The sequence below is a fragment of the Homo sapiens genome, chromosome 3 (genome assembly GCF_000001405.40).
Source record: "Homo sapiens chromosome 3, GRCh38.p14 Primary Assembly".
Lineage (NCBI taxonomy): Eukaryota > Metazoa > Chordata > Mammalia > Primates > Hominidae > Homo > Homo sapiens.
In genome coordinates this window covers 192173872-192193847 of record NC_000003.12, presented here as the reverse complement: position 1 = coordinate 192193847, position 19976 = coordinate 192173872, and the positions used below count along the sequence as shown (strand labels likewise).

Here is a 19976-nt window from a genome sequence, read left to right as displayed (position 1 = left end):
AGAAGTATTCCTGAGAATCACGCTGATGGTACATATACAAATTATAATGCATTTGGAATAAAAATATCCTTAAAAAAAAAAGAAGACAGTGGCTGCTTTCTAGTATTTAAAAGTGTTTCAGTAAGGACTGGGGAATCATTCCAAGATAGGTATAGAGTCATGTTATTGACCAGTGATGTTGAAAATGGAAGATGACATAGGGTGAGACTATAGAGTGTATTCTGGAAATGATACTTGATTTTTAACCAAAGTAACTCTAATCATTAATCTTCAAGAGAAGAGGTATGTTTGGTAAGAGAATGTCAAATAAATTTGATGATTATAATGTTAGGGCTGCTGATAAAGGAAGCTGATTATGAGAACCTACTTAAAAGGAAAAGAAACTTGGATCACTGCTGAGGAGTGAGTCCTTTATTACCTGTAGAAGAAAATGAGCACCCTTCTGAGTATTCTGTGCAGTCCAGTGTTGGAGTCCAAGACAGTGATGGGGTGATCGTGGCAGTATCATATCCAAGGCATAAGAGTTGAAGTTGTTCTCTTGTCACCTCAGATCAGATTATATCTAAAGTATGTATTCCTTTATTGGAGTCATATTTTAATAGGAACATTGACAATCCAGAACAGATCTAGAGCAAGGCAAGCGAGACCAGGAAGTAAGTCAAACCATATCATGGGCAGAGTTAAAATATTTAGAATATTTAAGAATACACATGGCATTTATGAAACTTTTTTTGGTCTCTGAAAGAAGTGAGCTTGAGAACCCAGACCACTGATACCCAACTTCTGTTCTACCTGGATCGAATCTTGTCCTGCTCTATGTTCTTCCTACCTCCCAAAAAGACAATTACAGCAACAATATTTCACTCAGTATAGGTGCTAAAAGTATTCTTGACACTGCTGCTTACATGATTATATATTGTCATTAATTTCATTTTTATTGACAGTTCATGATGCAAAATGCTTCCTACTTAAAATAACAAACATCTCAATGCTGTATTTACACAATGATATGCTATGTATGCGCTGATGTATTATATGAATAAAAAATAACTGCAGGTATTCATAAATACCTGTTGAAGGCAGACTTAATGCAACAATATAGAATTAAAGACACTTCTTTTATTTTTCATTGTCTCACTCAGGACCTATTTCTTTGTAAAAATCAAATGTTCTCCCTTTTAAGTTTGAAAATACTGTGATTCTATAATTCCACAGGGAAAGAATGCATAATAAAAGTGTGGAGAGAAGAAAAAAGTTATTACTAGTTATATTAAAAACCTGTTTCAAGTGCGAAGATCTGTCTTGTTTCCTGCCCCACTGTGTGTGTATATATATAATTTATATATAACATGTAATTATATATTTATATTATATATTTATTATATGTAATATAATTATATATTTATCATATATAATTATATGTACATATATGATTTGAACAAAAAATCTTACAAATTTTCTTCTATGAAAAGTATATGTGTAAATGTGTATATATAATTTGAATAAAATAAAATACTTATAAATTTTTGTAAGCCTAAGAGACAATGAGAGAAAGATAATTTCCCTTTCTACCAAAAAGTCCATAATCAACAGCTAAATAGTTCCATTTTGATCAACTTGTAAGAAAAGTATGAAGCTAGTAATAATTTTATTATTTCTCCATTAAGTGAAAGTTAGGAGAGCAAGACTTCCAGCTCTAATTATGACAGATCTTCATTTAGCATGTTAAAGTTTTTGGATCCAATGAGATTGAAGAATGATTTCTCTAGAGTTTGTCCTGAAGGTTTATGCCAGAGCACCAGATTTTACCACTGTTGTATGCTTAGTGTGTTGAAAGGCACACGATGTTATCCCATGCCTATGTGACAAACACATAAAATGAACTTAAAAATTATTCAGTGTAATTCTCTTATTTTCTGGGGAACCTTTCCCCTACTCTGTGTATCTTTCTTTATCCCTGCTATTTGTTTAGGGCTTTGTTATTAGTTTTTTAAAGGCTTTTTTTTTTTTTTGAGACGGAGTCTCGCTCTGTCTCCCAGGCTGGAGTACAGTGGCGTGATCTCTGCTCACTGCAAGCTCCACCTCCCGGGTTCGTGCCATTCTCCTGCCTCAGCCTCCTGAGTAGCTGGGACTACAGGCGCCTGCCACCATGCCCGGCTAATTTTTTGTTATTTTTAGTAGAGACGGGGTTTCACCATGTTGGCCAGGATGGTCTCCATCTCTTGACCTCATGATCCTCCCACCTCAGCCTCCCAAAGTGCTGGGATTATAGGCGTGAGCCACTGTGCCTGGCCTTAAAGACTATTTTTAGAGCAGTTTTAGGCTCACAGAAAAATGGAGAAAAAGTTACAAAGATATCCCATATACTCCCTGAAACACACATGCATAGCCTCCACATTATCAGCATCTTCTGCATTAGTGGCACATTAGTTACAATGTATGACCCTGCACTGACATATCATTATCAACCAAAGTCAATAGTTTACAATAGGGTTCACTCTTGGTTTTTTACATTCTGCGAGTGTGGACAAATCTATAATGACATGTATCAGCCATTATAGTATCACACAGAGTAGCTTCACTGCCCTAAAAATTTTCTATTTTTCATGGATTCACCTGACTTTTCCCCTGGGATCCCTGGCCACCACTGATCTTTCTATTGTCCTCATAGTTTTGTAGAACTTCATTATTTTACTTATGAAAATACTTCTCCATATTATGTCAGGGTAGTCACCAATACTAAAAGTACTGATGGGAAAGATGTACCTTCAAGAAAAATTACAGAGGTGTCCTTACAATATCTTGTCTAATTATACAAGATCTATTATTGTTTTCTTTTAGGCTCACTCTTAGGATAGCCTAAAGAAATCGACAGAAATAATGAATATTCTTTTGAAGAAGTCATCATTCTTCAGATAAGGGTCATAAATAATAATCCGTTGCACATACGTGATACTTTATAATTTGAAAGACCATTTCACGAGCATTATCACATCATTTGTATTCTGATTCTTTTCATGGGGAGATGTTGACCTATTGAGATTTATAAAGAATAATTCAAAAAGAGTATTGGGGCCGGGCGCGGTGGCTCACGCCTGTAATCCCAGCACTTTGGGAGGCCGAGGTGGGCGGATCACGAGGTCAGGAGATGGAGACCATCCCGGCTAAAACGGTGAAACCCCGTCTCTACTAAAAATACAAAAAATTAGCCGGGCGCGGTGGCGGGCACCTGTAGTCCCAGCTACTCGGGAGGCTGAGGCAGGAGAATGGCGTGAACCCGGGAGGCGGAGTTTGCAGTGAGCCGAGATCCCGCCACTGCACTCCAGCCTGGGCGACAGAGCGAGACTCAGTCTCAAAAAAAAAAAAAAAAAAAAAAAAAGAGTATTGGGCTTACAGATTGTCAGATTTTAATTATCAATGTATAGTTGGTTTATATAAAAAGAATATTGTAGCTCTGTTAAATAATTCATTAAATTTTCTTCTAAAATGTGGATGCTTTAAAATATTTTCAATGAATTAATCATTTGCCCTTTAAAATAGTTTTTGAAACATAAGGAATTTTTGAAACATAAAACTTCATACTAGTTGCAATTTATAAAAGGTGTTTTTGTTTGTATGCTTGTTATGGGAAGATGTATTGTTATATAATAACTATAAAGCTTTGACCACTGTGTTTGATCCTAGAGAAGTTATATAAAAATGCAAAGTCTATGCAACATAATTTCAAAATAATTTTTTATATTTCTTATAACTTTAAAAAAACTTTTCCTTAGCTCTCATAAACTATGTGCCATACCTTAAGTGCTTCCATGCTTTTTTCAATTTGTCCTGATCCATTAAAAAGTGGACAATTCCACCTTGACCTTCTATGTTTCACATAGTCTCCCCCACCATCCCCCCTTGCTCCTGAGTGTCAAACACAAAAGTCCTTAAAACATCCTGCTCAAAGGAAAGAGGAAAGGGAGGGACTGGGTAGCCAAACCAGAATCCTCTTTGGTCGGTATATTAGTTTGCTAAGGCTGCCATAACAGAGTACCAGAGACGGAATGGTTTCAACAACAGAAATAAATTTTCTCGTGGTTATGGTGATCTTGGAAGTTCAAGGTCAAAGTGGCAGGGTTGGTTCCCCCTCAGACCTCTCTCTGTGGCTTCCAGATAGCTACTCTCTTGTTGCCTCTTCATGTGGCTGTTTTCTGTGCACACCATGCCTGGTGTTTCTGTGCATATCCAAATTTCCTCTTCTGATAAAGACACTAGTCAGCTTGGAAAGAGCCCACTCTAACAGCTCATTTCACTTCATCTAAAGGTCCTATTTCCAAGTACAGTCACATTCTGAAGTACCGGGAGGATAGGGCTTCAACAAAAAAATTTTGGGGTGAGAGAAGGCACAGTTTAGTTTGTAACAGACGGCAAAGAGAGGAGAGAGGTGCGTCAACTTTACATTTTTTAATCTAACATAAATGCATTCAGTCGCCAGCTAATTTCTGTTTGGAGAGGTCAAATTTCTCTGTTATTTTGGAACTGAGAAGCATGCCTATGTCACAGGAGAGGGTATGACTCCCTTAAAGATTATCTAATTAATATTGTCTTTCTCCATTGGATTCCTCCAAGTATGGGAAGTAAAGGAAGAAAGGAGAATAAATAAATCAAAGGAAATCAAAAAAGCCCCTTTTAGATGGCTTAAACAGGACTGGAGATACCATGAAACCGAGGCTGAGGAAGCCTACAAGCTGCGGCTGGCATGAAATGTCAAGTAGTTCTTTGACATTGATGTGCCGGAGTCCCAGGCAAGTTTCCCCTAAATCTGTGTTAGCACACTCATGTGTAGGGAGGGGAGCCTGGGTCACGTAACTCCAGCTAATTCTTAGACAGAGGAATGAAGATGAAGTGTTACCTGAACTTCAGACTTTTTCATAAGAAATTAGAGATTACATTTCTATGTGAAATGTTGTGAACTTGAAAAACCTCTTGGGATTGGATCAGGCATATTTGTGGATCATATCTAGGTGGTTACCCACGTTCTTTTCAAAGCACATTGCACCACATGGCTTTGTCTTCTAACAGACTTGTGAAATAAGTATGATGATTCAAGTTTTAAATGAGTCCAACGCTCATAGAAATGAAGGAACTTTCTGCTTTTCATTCAACTAATAAATGGCACAGGCAAAATTGAAACTCAGTGTCTTGCATCAAAGCCCAGAGTTTTCATTTGTCTTACTGTATTTCTCAGACAATGTATTGTCATCCAGGTATCACATGACACACTTAGTTGTTTCTAAAAACTTATTATCGAAGCTTATTTCTCAACTGTCCACTGCAGTTTTTGAAAGAAAAAATGAAATAGATATAAGAATCATGGGACCCATAACCCTCCCTTTCTTGGTCCCACCAACTGTAGCCTCTTGGAACCAAGTCACCACCCCGCCACCTAGTGGCGGCATTCTCTAATTGGAGGTTAAGTACCACCTCAGGAAAGCAACCTGAAAATGGAAACACAAAAACACGTGCGTAGTTTCAATCTGTAATCCCCATTAACCTGTAAAGAGGACAGAATAACATAATTTGAAATGTGCTGAGTTTTGTGGAGCAAAGAGTATGGAGGTCCTATGCTTAGAATTCCTGCCATTGGACAGTCTTTTAGTTCAAGCTGTCTCACTAGTACCTCTTTGAATTCTAGATTTCATTCTTAGAATCACATGATTATGAAATTATTAGAATATTATAAATTGATGTTGGATTAATAAAATAATACATTGATGAATAAATACATGAGGCCACTACTCTCCTTAGGAAACTTTCCTGGCTCTCTGTTTCACTGGAATGTCTCTGAAACTCCTGGGACTAGAATAGGAATGTCTCCACTTTCTAAACCTCACTTGTCTTTCCGTTCTCATTTCCTAATACATAGATCTGCTACTGTTTATTTCCGTGATATGGTAACCACAGTTGACCCCCCATGTCGAGGAAAACTTACTATTCTTTCTTCCTTTTCCCTTCCCTTCCTTTTTCTTTCCTTTCTTCACCTTCCTTCACTTTCTTTTCTTAGTTTTCTCTTTTTTCTTTTTTCTTTCCATCTGTTCTATTTATTTCTCTCTCTCCTTTCGTTTATCTCTCTTCATTTGCTTCCAAGTTCCTACACATTCTTCAAGGGTCAATCCAAAGCAGCCTCTTCAGGAAGCTCTCCTTGGTCCTGATTCTTATTCAAGAAGGAAGCATTATCACTTAATCTTATACCTCACAGTATGGCAAATTCTTTGACTGCAAAAACTGTTTATTAATCTCTTTATCATTAACCAGTTAGAACATGGACAGGATTTAAGTGTTAGCTAAAAGACTACATGAATTACATAATTATTTTAGTGTCTATCGTGTAATTAAATAGCAAATGCTGTTTGGTCAACTTCACATTAACCTTCTCTTTCTACCTGGACTGGCTCATTTATAGCTGTTTTACATTAAAAATATATGTGGAAGTTGAGAATGCAGGCAAAAATATGCTTATGGTTTTACTGACCTGTTTATGATAAATTATAAGATATACTATATAAATTTTGCCTTTGCTCAAAAAAAGACTATATATGTCAGAAACTAAAACTCGTCGACTCTAGCATAATATCTCCTTCACATATTGTTCTGCTCTCCCACACAGTAGTTTTAAATACAGCTTTTCAAAATTGAATGCTAGAAATTTGCATGCTGATTCTATTAGGGAAAATGGTCAGATTCTATTCATGTTGAATACAAGCTAAACTGATGAGATGCTGTGACCCCTCTGCTACTTGGCTTCAAGTTAAGAGAACAGAAACAGTAGTGAGGTTGGCTTCCTTTTATAAAATGATGAAATTCCAATTAGAAGAATTCCAAGCTTCCTTTCAGCTTCATCTGTACTAATACAGATTTCTACTAAGGAGAAGAGAATTAAAAATGCCAAGCTGCAAAATATCTGAAAAGAGCAGACTATGTTTGAGTGTGTTGGTACATTTCAGGGGGAACCAAAATCAAATACTAACTGCTTATCAACAATTGAACCTCAAACTTCAAAACTGAAGTTTAGGCAGATAAAAGAATTTAAGGTCAAGAGGAGACATGACTCATACTAAACAATAGATTTTTCAGTTGTTCTTGAAACTGCCAACGCAGTTCTTTATTTTATTTTTTTGCAAGAGCATGAAAATCAAAACAGGAAATGAATCAAAATTATTCTCCTTTCAAATAAAGTAGCAGTATACACACACACACGCACACACAAATGTAAGAGAAAATGAACTGATGGTTTTTGTAGTTGATGATCTGAAGAAGAAATTGTTTATTCATTCGATATTCCTGAAAAATAACTTTAATAGAATGAGTCTATAGAAAGGAAGTAGATAGCCTTCTTTCTAGTAGGCTTACTATGTGCACAACCACATATATAAGAATAAATCATGTACATGTCACTAAGTATTTATCAAACAGCATTTGTCTAAGGCTTTATGCAAGATGGTGGCACCACGTAGTCATGAACTGAACAGGAACCCTGACATTTTAGAATGTATCAAAACAATGGATTTACTCTTAAGTGATTCACATGTAATTCTCAAAGTATTAACATCAGAAAAGAAGTATTCGCATTTTCCTTATACTCTCCAGGTCCCAGAATACCATCTGTTTGCTTTGGTTCATACATGTTAATGACATTTATCAAGTTAACATATATTTGAATTTCTACACAATTGGTTCTCAGTTCAAGAAAAAAAAATAGTATCTCTTACACTCAACATAAAATCACTATCTTTTGTAAACTAACATAGAATGTGAAGAGGAGGTTGAATCATACCTGTGTTTATTCTCTCATATTATAGGCTTCTTGAGATTGTATGCTTCAGTTTATATTTTTTTAATGTTTTTTCTCTCTCTTTCACCAATGAGTGAATATTTTCTGAAAAATTAAATGGTTATTTTTTAGGCTACTGATCCATTAATTATTCGCTGTAACTTTTTTTTTTTTTTTAGACGGAGCCTCGCTCTGTCGCCCAGGCTGAAGTGCAGTGGTGCGATCTTGGCTCATTGCCACCTCCGCCTCCTGGGTTCAAGCATTTCTCTGCCTCAGCCTCCCGAGTAGCTGGGATTACAGGCACCCACCACCATGCCTGGCTAATTTTTGTATTTTTAGTAGAGATGGGGTTTCACCATGTTGTCCAGGCTGGTCTTGAACTCCTGACTCCGTGATCCACCAGCCTAGGCCTCCCACAGTACTGGCATTACAGGCGTGAGCCACCACGCCTGGCCTATTAGCTATAACTTTTACCTTTCAATTAAAAAAAAAATTCATGAAAAAAAAAGAAAATGTAAACAGTTGAGTTAAGTTCTGAATTTTGTTAGCTATGTTGATTTGTAGAAAGTCTACTGCTGGAAGCTATCTGTAATAGGCTTCATAAGCCGTTACAAGGGCTATTTCATCAAACTACTCCCGACATGGAACAGGCTAGACTCCTCCATTCATTAGCTCATTTACAAACAGTTATGGAGGAGCTACTGGGTGTCAGATGCCAGCTACTGTGCAAGTATCTTATTTCAGTGAGAAATAAGACAGAGGCCGGGGTCTCAAGTGAGTTCTATATAGTATGTCATCATTGCAAATACACATGATATGTAATACAAAGTGATCATTATGTTAAGACAGCCACAGATAAATAGCTATGACGGGAGTCAGAAGAGAAAGAGATAATTTTAGATGACAGGATCAGAGGCAATTTTGTGAAGGGAGTTGAATTTGAACTAGATCTTTAAGACCAGGAGAGATTTGGATTTGCAGATATAGGTGGGAGGAATTGCCACATGTGAAAGCACAGCAGTAGTAACAACAAATGAAATAACTATAAATTGTAATGAAATCTGTGAGAAGTGATAAGATATATATCAAGTACCCTAATGAGATGGAGGCACATATATGAGGTGATTTAGCAATCTGGTGGTAAAGATAGAGAATGTAAATTATCCACATATATCTGAATTCTTTTTATGGATTTGTAATCCAACACTGTAAATGGGAAAATTGGTAGATAAAACACGTTTGGAGAACGATTTCATTTCTTTACCATTTTTGTAGGGTCTGCAAAGATGCTTTGAGGAAGGCACTTGCCAACTTTCAGTTTGCTAGAGAAAATTACTTTAGGATCAAATCATAAGTTCTGAATCACAAATGAACTCAAAATGTGCATTGATAGCATCATTAGGTAGCAGTACGGCTATTGATTTTCAGAGTTGGATTGGCCTTCCCCTGACCTTTCACCCATTGTTCCCTTTGCCCACACATGGCAATTCTACTTTGAAAAATACAGTATTTTCTCCATTCACCATCTCTAATTCAGACCATCGGTCAAGCTTACTCTGGTTTTATCCTGTTCATATAAAAAGAATCACCCTTTTTTGCCCTTTGCCAGCTCTTACATTACTAGTGTCTGCTTTATGGAATCAAGAGCAAATAACTTCCTACCTGCAGCCAAAATGTCTAAAAGCAGAGAATTCACTCTAATCGGTAAGCAAAGTGAAAACAACTATTATATTAACCGAAGCACATTGGTCAGTCATTTGATTAATGGAAAATATGCTGAATTAAAAGTAAAAGCCTATTTTATTTTATTTTTGGGGGACAGGGTCTCTGTTGCTCAGGCTGGCATACAGTGGCAAAATCTTGGCTTACTGTAACCCGTGCCTCCCAGGCCCAAGCTATCCTCCCACCTCAGTCTCCTGAGTAGCTGCAACTACAGGCACCTGTCACCATGCCTGGGTAATTTTTGTATGTTTTTGTAGAGGCACAGTTTTGTCATGTTACCCAGGCTGGTCTCAGACTCCTGGGGTTAAGTGATCTGCCCACCTCGACCTCGCAAAGTGCTGGCATTACAGGTGTGAGCCACCATGCCTGGATTATAAAAGTCTATTTTAGCTAATCATTCTTAATCTACGAAAGCGCATAAATCATAAGCAAAGCACCCACTGTGGCAAAGAGAGGGCAGACCCCTGGACTGGAGAGCAGGTTCTAATCCTTATTCTGCTGTTATTTAGCGCCATGGTCTTGATCGGGTTAATTCCTTCCCCTGCTCAGCCTTGCTTTCTTCATCTGTAAAGTGAAGAGTCAAACTACATATTTGCAATTTTAGATTTCAAGGATTCTATGATGAGGACAGAGCTTATGAACTTTCTTTTTAGTACCTTTTATGAAATTAAACAAGTGTACTTGTGATCTCTTTGTCCAAATGGTAGTATATCCAAAACATGATACAGGTAAATGATATTCCTGGGACTTTAGAAATAAAGCATAAAGTGAACCAGGCCTCTCTGTCTTCATTCTTCTTTGGTGGTGCAGGTGTTTACTTTGCATTCTCATTCTGAGGACACACCATCACAGCAAGAAGCATTGCAGCAAAGATTTTTTTCAAAAACACAGCCCCGGCTTTTCAGTGCCATCAGAACTGTTTATCTAGCAGATTACTCTTTAGGCTGTTAAAATGAACGTGGCTGGAGTGACAGTCCATGCAGGCTTGATTGAGTCTGAGCAGAAAACACCTGTGAGATGTGCGTTTCTAGCTCTGCTAAGGATATGATGTCAGATCTCAGCCTACTCACTGCTGGGTATCTTCATGTTGTTGGGGCTTCTTTGCTTTTCTAAAAAAAAAAAATCTTACATGCTCTCCAGATCCATAAAAAGGATTTGAGGTGTCTGCTGTACTCACATCAATATCTCAGCAATACTGCACCACATGCTGCGTCCCAGTCCACGTTTCTCCTTCATTGACCATTATAGTCTCTCCTCACTGAGAAATGTTTCAGTCACTGAGCATTGTAATCACCTGCAGGAAGTCTATGTTTAGATGAATGTATAATTTAAACCCAATGAGCAAACAAGTAACACAAACAAATTCTGGAGTTGTTTCTTCCCCATGGCCGTAGGCATAATTTTATGTCATGCCTACAGGAACATAAGACCCCCAATAAAAGCCCTTTACTGCATATTCGCAGGTGAAATGTCATCATCTTCTGGAGAGCCTACATCCTTCATTCCAGCTTTGATTAGAAAATTAGGTAGTGTTGGAGGAGGAATTTCAGGGCCCCCTGGATGTTGGGATTGATCTGAGTCATGAAAATACTGAAAAATGAAGCGAGTAGAGTTCAAAGAATGATGAGTTTGTTTGCTTTAATATATATCCCTTGTACTGAGGTCCAGTGTAGTTCTGGTGGTCTAAGCAGGACATAGACGATGGGGTAAGTAAACATATTTATTCTCATTCCCTCCTATACTCAACGAGTCCATTTAGAGATTGCCTATTTCATGGGTTCTTCATTGATTTTCTTCCTTCAGTAATTTTTCAGAGGAAGGGGCCATTCTTTTATATGGGATTAGGAAAACTTATGGTATATCCTTATAGTCATCTTTGTTTTGTGAGCCTGGGTAAGTAAATTTGCACTTCAGAATATATGTTTTATAAGATTTGAAATAAAACCCTATTAGTAATTGGAGGTCTGTAGTCTATATTTAACTAGTACATTAATTGTACTTGACCCAGAATTTTTCCCCTAAATTCATTACTTGAAGTAATAATACATGTAGAAAAAAAAAAAGTCTATTTCTTATATCTCTGCTCCCTAGCCAACCAAATCCCTTCCCAGGAGCCAACACTATTACCAGCTTGTGTAAGCTTCAAGATATTTTCCAATCATACATAATACACACAAATACCGAGTTGTTTATATGTGCCAGTATCCAGCCTATAATTAATTATATCCAGTAATATTTTCCCTCAAATATGGTTCCTTTCAGTTCTTAAATTTTTATTGGGTTTTAAAAATCATTTATATTTTTTCTGCTGTTTATTGTTTATTCATTATGTTCTTTTTTTTCATTGAGATATGTTTTCTCTAGAACATATTTATAGTGGCTGTTTTAAAGTTCTTATCTGTTGGCTGAGCATGGTGGCCCATGTCTGTAATCCCAGCACTGTGGGTTGATCCCAGGAGTTCGAAACCAGCCTGGGGAACACAGCAAAACCCTGTCTCTACTAAAAATACAAAAATTGGCAGGGTGTGGTGGTGCATGCCTGTAGTCCCAGCTACTTGGGAGGCTGAGGCAGGAGAATTGCTTGAGCTGGGGCAGTGGAGGTTGCAGCGAACAGTGATCCCGCTACTGCACTCCAGTCTGGGCAACAGGAGTGAAACCCTGTGTCAAAAAAAAAAAAAAAAAACAAATTACTTCTCTTAATTTTAACATCTAGGCGACCTTGTGATCTTTTCTACTATCTGCGTAACTGACCATGAGTTACATCGTGCTGCTTGCATCCATGTTTTGTGATATTGTATGTTAGACATTTATAAAAAACATTGTAGAGTGTATTACATTATCTGCTGATACAGGTGTGTGTTTTGTTCTGGCATTTGGATTAATAACTAATAAATCCTCTTGATCTTGTCATGCTGTGTGTGTGTGTGTGTGTGTCTGTGTGTGTGTGTCTGTGTGTGTGCGTGTAGGTCTTGTCTTGACTGTTTTGGTTCTGTCTTTAATCTGGGGGATGAGGACGTGCTCACTTAGGGTGTGGTCATTAACTTGAACCTGTGGCCTTTCTGAGGTCTTCATTGAATGCCCTCTTTGCTTAGTGAGGCCCCTGCTTTCTGACTTGCCCGGAAGTTTATCATATCCTAGCCCTACACAGCCACAGCCATCTCCATTCAGCTCTCAATCCTGGAGCAGCCATTCTATGCTGGGCCTTGAAGAGTCTCATCCTGAGCATGTGCTTTTCTCTCTGTAAACCCAGGATCCACAGGAGATCTCCGTACAGTCTCCTGCCCCTCATTCCATCCAGCCCTTTTTCACTGGCACCTTGCTCCACAAATTCAAGTCACCTTAGCAATCTCGAACTACAGTTTCTGCCTCTTCAGCTTCACAAAACCACAGTGCTGTCCCTTGAAGAAAGCAAGAAAACCAACACAGAGCCAAGCAAATACACAGTGCTTACCTCCTGTGTATCTGCCTTCTCTCAAAGATCAAACACCCACAGTTCCAGTTGACAAGTGCCTGGAAACTTCTACCTCATATACTTTGTCCAGTTTTATAATTGCTTACATCGGAAAGTTAAGTTTGATATCAGTTAGTTTGACTTCATGGGAGTTGATACAGAAGTTTTAAAAGTTAGGAAATTTCATGTAAAAAATATATTTTTTAGCCTTAGTTGATAATTTCTCGTACCTTTTAGTGTATGAAATGTGACTTTCCAAAAAGCAGAAGAATGTTGAAATTGAAATATGTGCATTTGACAACATCCCTACTTTCATCCTTATCCCAAGAAAGGAAGACAGAGGCTGAGGCACTAGAAGCACATATCTTGCCATGATTTTCCTGTTCAGTCATAGTGGGACACATGATTACGTATTGTGCACAGGTTCACTTGGTAAGAACCAAAGGCATTTTCAATGGAGAATTGTGCTGCCCCTCCAATATCTGCTCTAGATATGTCGTCTCTAAAACATTGAAGCTCCTGGAAGTTATTTTGATGATAATAGTGAATTGTAATATAATATACCCCTCACCCACTGGCTTTCTCCCACCTCACTTCTATACTTACAGTCTTCTGGCTAGAGGCTGAGTCCAGTGGTATTGTGGTATAATGCCTCATTAGGAGGTGACAAGAACCTGAAATTACCACATCACTTATCTCCAATTGATGGCACCAAATTCCTCTACCAGAGAAAGAAAAGTGATCTGATATCTCTGTGTTCTCTATATATAGATGACCAAGTTGAGCCTTAAGCAAGATAATCTTAATTAACCTCTCACAGGTAAGAGATCCTCATGACACGTTATGTGGATCCACAACTACAGTGACTTTTCTCTGCCCGCTGCTCAGGCTACTGCATTCTCATTTGTGATATCAGTTTTCCCCTGAAATTGTAACCAGGAGTAAGGAGAGTGAGTAATAAGTCAGGTACTACATGCTTGACACACCTTCATTGTCTAGTCTAATAATCACAACCTGGCCGGATGCAATGGCTCATGGTTGTATTCCCAGCACCCCGGGAGGCCAAAGCAGGCAGATCCCTTGAGGTCAGGAGTTCGAGACCAACCTGGACAATATAATGAAACCCTGTCTCTACTAAAAATATAAAAATTAGCCCGGTGTGGTGGCACACACCTGTAATCCAAGCAACTTGGGAGGCTGAGGCATGAGAATCACTTGAACCCGGGAGGCGGAGGTTGCAGTGAGCAAAGATTGTGCCGCTGTACTCCAGCCTGAGTGACAGAGCAAGACTGTCTCAAAAAAAAAAAAAAAATCAACCTTACAGTGATGATATAATTAACCTTAACTTACAGATGTGAAACTGAGTTTCAGAGAAATTAAGTAACTTGCTCAAGGTCAAAAATCAAGGGTTTGAGTATTGAGTAGTTGTGTCCATCTACCTCCAACATTACATTTCCAGTACGTCACAGGTTGCATTATTTTATGATGGTATAAATTTACCTTGTTTCCTTGTCAGATGTTGCAAAGAATGTGTTAACAAAGAACCTTTATTTTTAGAGGAATCAGCTCAGTAGTTTTCCAGTAAAAATTATTTCAAAAGTGTGTAGACAAAGGTTTCCGTATCTGCAGAGTTGTTTTTTTTAAGTTATAAAATTAGACTTGTTCTAGTCAAAGCAATCCCAATTTTTTTTTCAAAAAAATTCACTTGAGATAATGTAATTTGGCATTTTCTTTGCCTCTTGTCAGGATGGAAAACAATATTTCTCTTGCTTGATTTAATATCATTATGCGTGACAACAGAGTTAGCAAAGTAGCAGCTATTATAGCAAGGATTTTCAAGTTCTCTCCATCTAAAGGCCATTAATGAAGTTAGCAAATCAGAAGCTTCACAGCCAAATATCCAGTGAGAATAACCGAAAGGACTCTGTCTCTGGAGTTGTTGGATATAAATTGTGTTGGAAGATTCCCCAGTTGTTTTTGATTCCTTTCTTTCTTACACAAAACTGAATCCACAAGGTGGCACAGCAAACAGAGAAGGTGGTTATATACATTAAAAAGAGTTTAGACCTGGCGCAGTGGCTTATGCCTGTAATCCCAGCACTTTGGGAGGCCAAGGTGGACGGATTGTCTGAGGTCAGGAGTTAGAGACCCGTCTGGCCAACAGGGTGAAACCCTGTCTCTACTAAAAATACAAAAAAATTAAGGCATGGTGGCAGGCGCCTGTAATCTCAGCTACTCAGGAGGCTGAGGCAGGGGAATTGCTTGAACCAGGGAGGTGGAGGTTGCAGTGAGCCGAGATCGTGCCACTGCACTCCAGCCTGGGTGACAGAGCGAGACTCCCTCTGGAAAAAAAAAAGAGTTTAGATTTGGGGTTTTAAGTGGGAAAGATAGAACCAAAATCAGAGGCCCTTTTTTATCTGGCATATGCTTGAAAATTCAATAATTTCTACATACCATATGGAGAGTCATTAGTCATAATTACTAACACAATAGCAAAGTCTATTTCTCTGATTAATTTTTCTTTGTTTGCTTATTAAATAATAATATATTACCACCATTTCTTTGGTAGGAAAGCTCTATTTTTGAAGAAACAACATTTTATATAGGCTCTTTAATTTTAATACATTATGTATTTAATATGAATAATATAGCTATAAAGTAAGACAAAAGTGACATTTGAGATTGTGTAATTTGGCATTTCTTTTTTACATTTAGAGAAACTGAGAGCCTAAGAAAGAAAGAGGCCTTTCCCATTTGATCACAACTTAGAGATATACAGGAAGAAAAAATTCAGATTTTATGATGTATTTTCACCAAATTATTTTGTTGGAGTCGATTTGTTGTTTAATTCCCAGAACTGTTGAGAATACGAAGAGAATATAGCAATCATGGTAGCTACTTTCAAGAAGCTTAAACAAATTCATATGTGTTATAATGCCAGAAAGGGTCAAGTTATGAAGGAAAACAAAAGCAAGGTAAAGGGTTAGAAAGTGGCCGTAGTGCTAAATTATGTAAGGTAGTCAAGGGAGCTTTCTCTGAGGTAGTTACATTTAAGCAGTAACCTGAATGAAATAAGAGATCAAACCATGTTAATATGTTACTGAAGACATTTTCAAGAACAAGGAATATTGATTGTGAAGGATTTGAAATGGGACATGCTTATTGTGTTTCAGTAACAGCAAGGAGACCAGTGGCTGAGTACAACGAGCATTCACTCATTGACTGTACATTCACCCATGGGTTATCTCAGCCAGAGCAGTAAGGAGGAAACAGGGATCTGCAAAGAGCAGAGTGAAGATGAATTATGGTTATGGTATCGTGTAATTATATTAACTATACAGTGCTACCAAGTGCTGTATTCCTACTTGAGTTGGAAAGCATGCATTTGGCAAGTAAAGCTCATGGGAGCAAAAGCGGTTCTGAGTGAATCACATAACATTCTTTACCTTTCAAGAACTTTATTCTGAGCAGATGTCATACTAAAATGTAGAAGCCTTTAAAGTTACAATATCAAAGTTGTCTGTGAAAAGAAATAATCTCAAATAATTTTATAGGCCTTTGTAGTTATCAAAGAGCTTTCATATCTGTTAAATAATTTGATCATTACAATGCTCCTAGTCTGTATAGTAAACGTATCTTCAGTGTACAGTGGAGGAAGTTGAGGCTCAGAGAGGTTAACTGGCGTGCCAAAGGTCAGGGAGAAAATTGTCAGTGAATGACAAATCAGAAATTTAGATAATTCAAATGATTTTCCAGAAAATACTTACTGTTTATTTCTCCATGTGTCCTGGACAATTCTGTTTTTCTATTCTGTTCATTTGATGTCTTGACATAATTATTCTGTAGGACCTTGTAAGTGGTTACTTTTAACTTACACAGTTTTACAAACATTATTAGTAAATCAAACATGTAAGCATGGGCGTTGTATAATATAACGGTGTGGAATAGAAAATAAGAAGGGGAATGTGTTAGTTGGAGACAGAATGGAAAATATTTTTTCTTGAATAACTTATGTGATCCACAATGTTATATTTACATCTTGAACAAAATTTGCTTGCAACCTATAAATGAATGGTTGTTATTTGTTATTAAACTTACCATACATCATCTGTTAGCTAATTATGTAGGAAAAACTTGATATTGAAAGAAGGACAAAGATTTTTGGGAAGTAATTTTTGTCATTTTACTTAATCTTCAAACATTTTTAATGTGAGAATTATTGCTCCCAGTTTAATGTAATAGAAAAAGAGATTTTTAACAAAATTAAATAGCATGTCCAAGTTCATACAGGTAAAGGGACTGAATCAGTACTGTCAATCAGTTCTATCTCACCACATAACCTTTGCTGTTTCCTTGACTTAAATTATTGCTACATTTATTTAAACAAGAATAAACTGGGCGCTGAATTGCTTGGCTTCATAAAAAGCATTGAAGAGGATTATGTCCCTGTGAACTAAAGCTCACATTGTCTGCTATAGGAGCAAGAAAAACCATCGTGATTCAAGACAGAACACATTAAATACTAAAAGAAATATCAAATGCTATGAGAAGCAAAAGGAAGGAAAGTTTGCTGTAACCTGAAGAGTCTTGAAAGAGCATCTGTTATGGTCCTATTTGATAGAGAAACAGAGAGAACAGCTTGAGCAAAGCACAGCTTGAGGGTTAGGAAGTGGGGGCATTGCAAGAAATTAGCATGTGATGAAAACAGTGTTGACAGTGGGAGTCAAACCTGAAAAGATACAGCATTTTATCCAAGTATTCATTAAAATCTCTAAATTTCTGTCTATTTATCCTTGATGGTGTTTATATCTTAAGGGGAATTCCATTCAGATGAGGGGGCGGTGGGAAAGGCCAAAGCTGACACAGTTAGAGGCTGACTAGAGAGGAAAGGACTTTTCCTGGGCAGTGGTAGACCCTAAGAAGCCAGAAACTGTGTGACAGTTGTCTATGTGCAGGGAGAAGAAACAGGAAGAAATTCAGTGTTGGAGAGGAATCAAGGTAGAGTATGAAACTATGAAGCTGGGGTCAGGGAGCATTCTAGGGAGAGGAGGTTGGAATCCCATGGGATGGGGAGAGACTAGAAGGGGTCCTGAGTGATCATGTTGGGCTTACGTAGGATTCCAGCATTCATTCATCATCTGGATTAAAATGAGTTGGAGATTTTAACTTTTGAGGCAAGGCTAGGGTGGACAGGTATTTGGAATGTGAAAAAGAATTGGTCAAATATTGGCTTATACCATGATAGAACAAAAACTCAGTTCTGCAAATGCTGATAAAAGAGGGAGCATTCAAAAATAATTTCGGAACACTATCAAAATATTCATTTTCTGCTGAAGTCAAAGTGAGTGGAAGTTGAAGAATGGGCAGGTTTTAAAGTAATAATTGTGAAAAATAGACCTATCATTTCACATATCTACACACATGACATAGAATAGAACACGGGGGTGTTTCTATTTCAGCAGATTTCTATAAGTTTTCTCTGATGCCTACATTGAACTGAGGGCTCAAGACTATAGGAAAAAGAAACACTCATGAGATACAACATGACTACTGGTTAGTCTTACGAAAGAAACAAAATCATCCTTATTATACTGATTATTTACTCTGCTTTCTATTATATGCACTGGATCAAGGTGGCCTGGGATTTTATCACCTTTGACCCCAAGCCTGCCTGTTTCCGTTATACATTAGATTTTTTGTCAGTCTGAACACACATTTTATAACCACAGAACCCCTTCTGAATATATGTGATTGTCTAAGTCTTTACCAAAAGCTTTAGATTATTTTTAAAATGTCTATATATTTGTAACCTGCCTTAACTACTCTTATGGCACAAGGTCCTAGATGTTGGAGCAGATATAAACATGTGACAAAAACCAGAATTGAGTGCCTTATTATAGGATTCATTGCATTTTTCCTGCTATGTGAAAAGTGAATAATGAGTTGGAGGTTGTTAAATTCTAAACATTTAAAACATGTGTCCATATGCATGATTTTCCTTAAAATAACTCAATTTACAGTTGAAAATGTGAAATTTAGAGAATTGTAATCACTTACCTAAAATCCACAGCTAATATGTGTGGAGCCAGAAGGAAAACCCTGATTTTTTTTTTTTTTTTACTCCACGTGTAGGGCTCTGATTTCTCATTACAAAAAAAAAAGAGGCATAATAGCAAATACAATGTAAATTCTTTGATGCCCAACTCCATATTGAAACTGAAACTGCACATATATTGTAAAGGTTCTACTTAGAATGACTATCCAAGCTGGTTCAGTGCCATTAAGATTTCCCGTCCAGTTTATAGGGTAGCCTGCCTGTGTCCACACAAGTGCCTGCAGCAAACTCCTGCCATGTTTCCAGCCGGAAATGTCTTGCCCTGGTCAGGTATTAATAGCTGCCTCATTTTCAGATTCTGACTCTGCATAGCCCTGTTGGAATTATACTGAATGGAAAACTCCACTTGGCTTTTCATTGCTGATTAGGACCTGGATGCTGTGCAAGAAATCCCCCATTTGTCAATTTAGTAGTTCAAAGCCCGGTTCCTACCTAATGCGGTTCCTGGCTCAGGACCCCAGGACTCCAGCTTCTGTGCAATATCTCTGATTTTTGCTGTTCCGGGAGGGAATTTTAAATGAGTATGAAACAGAAACCTAAGAATCGTTATTTATTAAATGAGAGTGTTGTTTTTCTCATGTATAAATGACAATGTAGTAATTATACATCACTGATATGGTTTCTATAATATGAGTAAGGCTTGCCCAAATCAAGCTTGGCATCAAAAGCAGGATTGCGTATGCAGTAGGAAAGCAATGTGTGGCATTGGAAGAAGTACTGAACCAGCAGCGAGGAGCCCGTTGTTCAACACAGGGTCTGGATCTGCCGCTAGCTTCCTATGACACTGGGGACAATTATTTCGCTGTCATGAGCTTTAGTTACCTTGTTAGATAAAGGTGCCAAATTGTACTATCATCACTAAGCAGCTTTATATC

At 37.6% G+C, this 19976-nt stretch overlaps 1 protein-coding gene across 7 annotated transcripts in view, besides 3 other annotated features; it reads left to right on the top strand.

Moving 5' to 3' along the window:
* FGF12 (fibroblast growth factor 12) overlaps positions 1 to 19976 on the top strand; it is a 588152-nt gene that overhangs the window by 533694 nt on the left and 34482 nt on the right. The gene's annotated exons all lie outside the window — the stretch shown is intronic.
* Positions 5358 to 5417: a silencer, noted in NCBI's record as "silent region_15006". NCBI's record gives its function as "represses an Ori minimal core promoter by ATAC-STARR-seq in GM12878 lymphoblastoid cells {active_cell/tissue: GM12878}" and the evidence as "EXISTENCE:reporter gene assay evidence [ECO:0000049][PMID:35858748]".
* Positions 7309 to 7819: an enhancer, noted in NCBI's record as "NANOG hESC enhancer chr3:191903818-191904328 (GRCh37/hg19 assembly coordinates)". NCBI's record gives its function as "activates a minimal SCP1, AML or CMV promoter by ChIP-STARR-seq in primed H9 embryonic stem cells {active_cell/tissue: H9 hESC(primed)}" and the evidence as "EXISTENCE:reporter gene assay evidence [ECO:0000049][PMID:30033119]".
* Positions 14934 to 15228: a silencer, noted in NCBI's record as "tiled region #9727; K562 Repressive non-DNase unmatched - State 24:Quies". NCBI's record gives its function as "represses a minimal TATA promoter and a strong SV40 promoter by Sharpr-MPRA in K562 cells {active_cell/tissue: K562}" and the evidence as "EXISTENCE:reporter gene assay evidence [ECO:0000049][PMID:27701403]".